General features: G+C 62.3%; 1 annotated feature.

The window, feature by feature from the left end:
• Positions 1,231-1,810: an enhancer, noted in NCBI's record as "H3K27ac-H3K4me1 hESC enhancer chr19:588071-588650 (GRCh37/hg19 assembly coordinates)". NCBI's record gives its function as "activates a minimal SCP1, AML or CMV promoter by ChIP-STARR-seq in naive H9 embryonic stem cells {active_cell/tissue: H9 hESC(naive)}" and the evidence as "EXISTENCE:reporter gene assay evidence [ECO:0000049][PMID:30033119]".

The raw sequence follows: 4,518 nt of genomic DNA, 5'->3' as shown, positions 1-4,518 counted from the left end.
AGGGGGGAGGCGGGGGCGGGGCGGGGCGGAGCCGCGGGGGGCGGAGCCTCGCGGCGGGGGAGGGGCGGGGGAGGGGCGGGGGCGGGAGACCCGCCTCGGCTGCGCCCCCTCCCCGCGCGCCGCCTCCGCTCGGCGCCGGGAAACTCGGGCCGCGGGGTCGGGGGCGCCCCAAGGTCACGCGGCCCGAGGCCTCGGAGCCCCGCGCGGGCCTCTCCCCAGGAGGGGAAACTGAGGCCCGCGACGTGTAAGGACGCGCCCAAGGTCACCGGGCCCCGCTGCCCGGCCGGAGCCGCCTCTCCTGCGCCGCGGCTTCCACCTCTGTCCGGAGGGCACCGGCGCGGGGAGGGTGGACGCGGGCCTGGGAGACGGGAGAGGCCGCCACGGCCAGCGCCTCCTTGCTTTCTGTGAGGTTTGAAGACTTCCACGACGAAAGGGTGTTTCTAAAGGTCACAGGAGCCCTTGCTGGGTCGCCTGTGGGCCCTGGACAGAGACCCTTGAGTGCGTGGGGAGGGGCAGGCCGGCTTGGGCGCCGTTCTGGGAGACTCAGGCACTCCTCTCCCTGGTCTGCATTTGAGGAAACTGAGGCCAAGCCCAGCCAGACAAGGAAAACTGGAAAAGCCACCCGAGGGTGTGGGGTTCCCACCCACCCCTCAAACAGTGCCCTGGGGAGCCGTGCGGCGGGGGTCTCCTCTAGGTCTGGTGGGCTTTAGATTGGGGTCACAGGGAGACCCAAAGCCCACTAGCGCCTTCGCACGGGTACCAGAGCCCCCTGCCCCGGGGTTGCCTCCTTTCCCCGACCCCTCGGACTCCGGGTGCAGCTGTGCCCCCAGTGCCTCCAGTCCCCAGCTCTGAGACAGGTGCTTCCCAAGGCTCTGCTTCTGGGCCGAAGCCGGCTGGGCGTGGGTGCTGCTTGGTGCCAGGTGACATGAGGCCTCTGTCCCTAGCCACCCAGCCCACCAGACAGCCGGGAGGGGGCAGGTGAGGAAGCTGGCAAGTGAGAGAGAGGAGACAGACAGTCACACTCGAAGAAGTGGAGGCTGAACATCCCCACCTGGAGGCAGGAGGCCCTCCTGGGACCCTCCTGGCACCTGGCCTGACGTCCTCTCAGCCACGATGTCCCGTGTGCCGGGTGCCCCCCACCCATCTGCACCTCGAGGCCACCGGGGCAGAGATGGCCCTCTTCCTACACCCAGGAGGCACTCAGTGGTACTTGAGGGAGGGCCAGCATGTGCCCGGCTGACAGTGGATGGGCTGAGCCCGACCGTGTCTCTCGCCTCGGCCTGGCTGCCCCACACCCTGGGGATCCCTGCGCCCCCACGCCGGCCCCGCCGGCCACCTCCGCATAGGCGGGCAGGACAGCTGTTTGTCCCAAGGTGGTGCGGGAGAGGCCGGGCGGGCGGCACAGTTGGCAGTGCCAGGCTGTGGCCCGCCCCGAGGCAGATGCGTGCTCCAGCTGAAGGGGGTTCTTTTATGTTCACCCTGGGAAGATGTCAGGCCGGGCAGGTCGCCAGAGCCCCAGGGCTCGCGGCTGGGAGCAGGGAGGAGGCGGGACCCGCACGGCACGAGAACCGCCCATGCCTGGCAGTGGGAGAAGCAGAAAGACGCCTCCTGCAGGCGCCGGCAGAACCCGCAAGTCACAAGGGAGGCTGTGGCTCGGGGTCCTTGTCACCAGATCCTGGCGACGGCTCTGCAGCCCACAGGCTTACCCAGGCCAGCGCCTGTCAGTGTGCACGGGGACCCTCCCTGGCCTCGGCACACTCACTCTGACCCCTTGCCCAGGCCGGAGTACTCTGTATTTATCTGTTTATTTATGTATTTATTTATTTTTGAGTTGGAGTCTCGCTCTGTCGCCGCCCAGGCTGGAGTGCAGTGACGTGACCTCGGCTCACTGCAACCTCCGACTCCCGGGTTTAAGCGATTCTCCTGCCTCAGCCTCCGGAGTAGCTGGGATTACAGGCGCCTGCCACCACGCTCGGCTAATTATTGTATTTTTAGTAGAGACAGGGTTTCGCCATGTTGGGCCAGGCTGGTCTCCAACTGCTGACCTCAGGTGACCCACCCGCCTCGGCCTCCCAAAGTGCTGGAATTACAAGTGTGAGCCACCCCCCCAGCCATGCTCATTTATTTTAATTTAAAAAATATTTAAAGATTGAGACCAGCCTGGCCAACATGGTGAAACCCCATCTCTACTAAAAATACAAAAATTAGCCAGGCGTGGTGGTGGGCGCCTGTAATCCCAGCTACTTGGGAGGCTGAGGCAGGAGAGTCGCTTGAACTCAGGAGCCAGATGGTGCAGTGAGCTGAGATCACACCATTGCACTCCAGCGCTTGGTGATAGAGCAAGACTCCGTCTCAGAAAAAAAAAAAAAAAAAAGCCGGGCGCGGTGGCTCACGCCTGTAATCCCAGCACTTTGGGAGGCCGAGGCAGGCGGATCAGTTGAGGTCAGGAGTTCGAGACCATCGTGGCCAACATAGCAAAACCCTGTTTCTAATAAAAAATATAAAAATTAGCCGGATGTGGTGGCACATGCCTGTAATCTCAGCTACTCAGGAGGATGAGGCAGGAGAATCGCTTGAACCTGGGAGGTGCAGCGAGTCAGGATGGCACCACTGCTCTCCAGCCTGGGTGACACAGCGAGACTCTGTCTCAAAAAAAAAAAAAAAAAAAATCAACAAAAACTTATTAAGCACCTACTCCAGGCCGAGTATTGACTCAGAGGCCAGTACAGCTGACTCAGAGAGCCAGCCAGGGGAGAAAGCTGGGTATCACAGTCAACCTTATGAGTAGCAAGTAAGATACTGTCCAGCAGAAGGTGGTGAGCATTGTCCAAACACTCAGGGTGGGGAGGGGGCCAGGTGCTGGGAGAAGGCCTGAAGGAGGGGGTGCGGCCCGGGAAGCTGCAGGAAGCTCTGGGCAGGCGGCATAGCCTGTGCGAGGGTCCTGAGGTGGGACCGCACCTGGCTTGTGTAGGGAGCATGGAGCCCCAGGGCCTGGCCCCTCAGTCAGTCACATCGGTCTGTGGCCTAAAACCACTCACAGCTCCCAGTGCCTTTGGAAGAAAGCCCGGGTCCCTCCAGCAGCTTGTACTCCTCCGCCCGAGTCTGGCCTTTGTGTGCCTGGGTCACTGGACCCCGAACTCCCAGACCCCTCCTCGCTGAACCTCCCCAGGCCCTGCCATTCCCTCCCCAGGGTCTTCCCCATCTCCCCGCCCCCTGCAGCCTCTCTCGGCATTGTTTACCGGATTTACCAACCTCGGACCTACATTTCCCACTTAGTCAGGACAGGTCCAGGTCGCACGCCCTGAAAGCTTATACAATTTTGGGGCCTTTGGAGTGAAAAGCAGTTTAAGACCAGGAAGACAAAATCAGGCCAGGGCAGGCACTGAGCCCGCCTGGAAAATCTGCAGTTTGACTCAATAAATACTAAACGAGCCAGGGGGAGGGGTGCGTGTCATCTGTGGTCCCAGGTTCTTGGGAGGCTGAGGTGGGAGGATCACTTGAGCCCAGGAGGTCGAGGCTGCAGCGAGCCGAGATCAACACCACTGCACAAACAGCCTGGGTGACAGAATGAGACCCTTGTCTCAAAAAAAAAAAAGAAAATTAAAGAGATGAGCTGTGCATGGCAGGCCTGGGCCCACATTTACAGCGGAGGAAACAGAGGCTTAGGAAAGGGGGTGGCATCCCAGTCTCAGCCACACACGCAAGCTCCATCTCTGCAGGAGCACAGCCCTGAGGGCCCCTGCCCCAGGCCTCCGTGTCTGCAGCGTCTGCGATGAGAGCAGGGCCCCCAGTCCTGCTGGCCTGGGATTCACACAAGTTTCCTTCTCCCTGCTGGGCTCACCTTGCCCCAGGAGCCTGGTGAAAAATATGGGGAAGACCAAAGTCTTTCCGCACGGGCCAGTTCCATGTCAGCAGCTCCTTCTCACTCCTTCAGCTCTGCCCTCCACGGCGGGACCTTGGATGAGTCACTGTCCCTGCCCTGAGCCCCTAGAGTGGGACGTGCTGCTTAGAGCCACAGCCCAGAGTGGAGGGGATGGGGCAGGCCCTGTCCTTGTGGGCTCCCACTGGGGTGGGGGGTAAGAGGGAGGAGAGGCCAATTTGCCCAGGACAGGAATAGGCAGCCCAGCTTTGGGGCCGCGGTGGGGTCCAGCCCATGAACAAACACTTGTTCCTCTGGCCGCCCCAACCCTACCCCTGCCCACTGGGAGCTGGGACTCCTGAGACCCCAAGGTTCCCAGGGGAGCCCTGAGGCCTTTTCCTGATACTTGGCAAGGATGATCTAATCTCATCTCATGACCTGGCGGTGGTGACTTCCCCATCTCACCTCTGGGGAAACCGAGGCAGGCTTCAGCGAGTTGCCACCAAGAGCACCCAGGGACGGGGTGGACATCGGGCTGGGCACCCACCGACGGGGCGGACATCCACCTCCGCACCCCTCCGCGCCGGGCACCCACCGACGGGGCGGACATCCACCTCCGCACCCCTCCGCGCCGGGCACCCACCGACGGGGCGGACATC

The sequence above is a fragment of the Homo sapiens genome, chromosome 19 (genome assembly GCF_000001405.40).
Source record: "Homo sapiens chromosome 19, GRCh38.p14 Primary Assembly".
Classification (NCBI taxonomy): Eukaryota; Metazoa; Chordata; class Mammalia; order Primates; family Hominidae; genus Homo; species Homo sapiens.
Note: the sequence above shows the minus strand (reverse complement) of the source record. Positions and strands in the feature narration are given on the sequence as shown.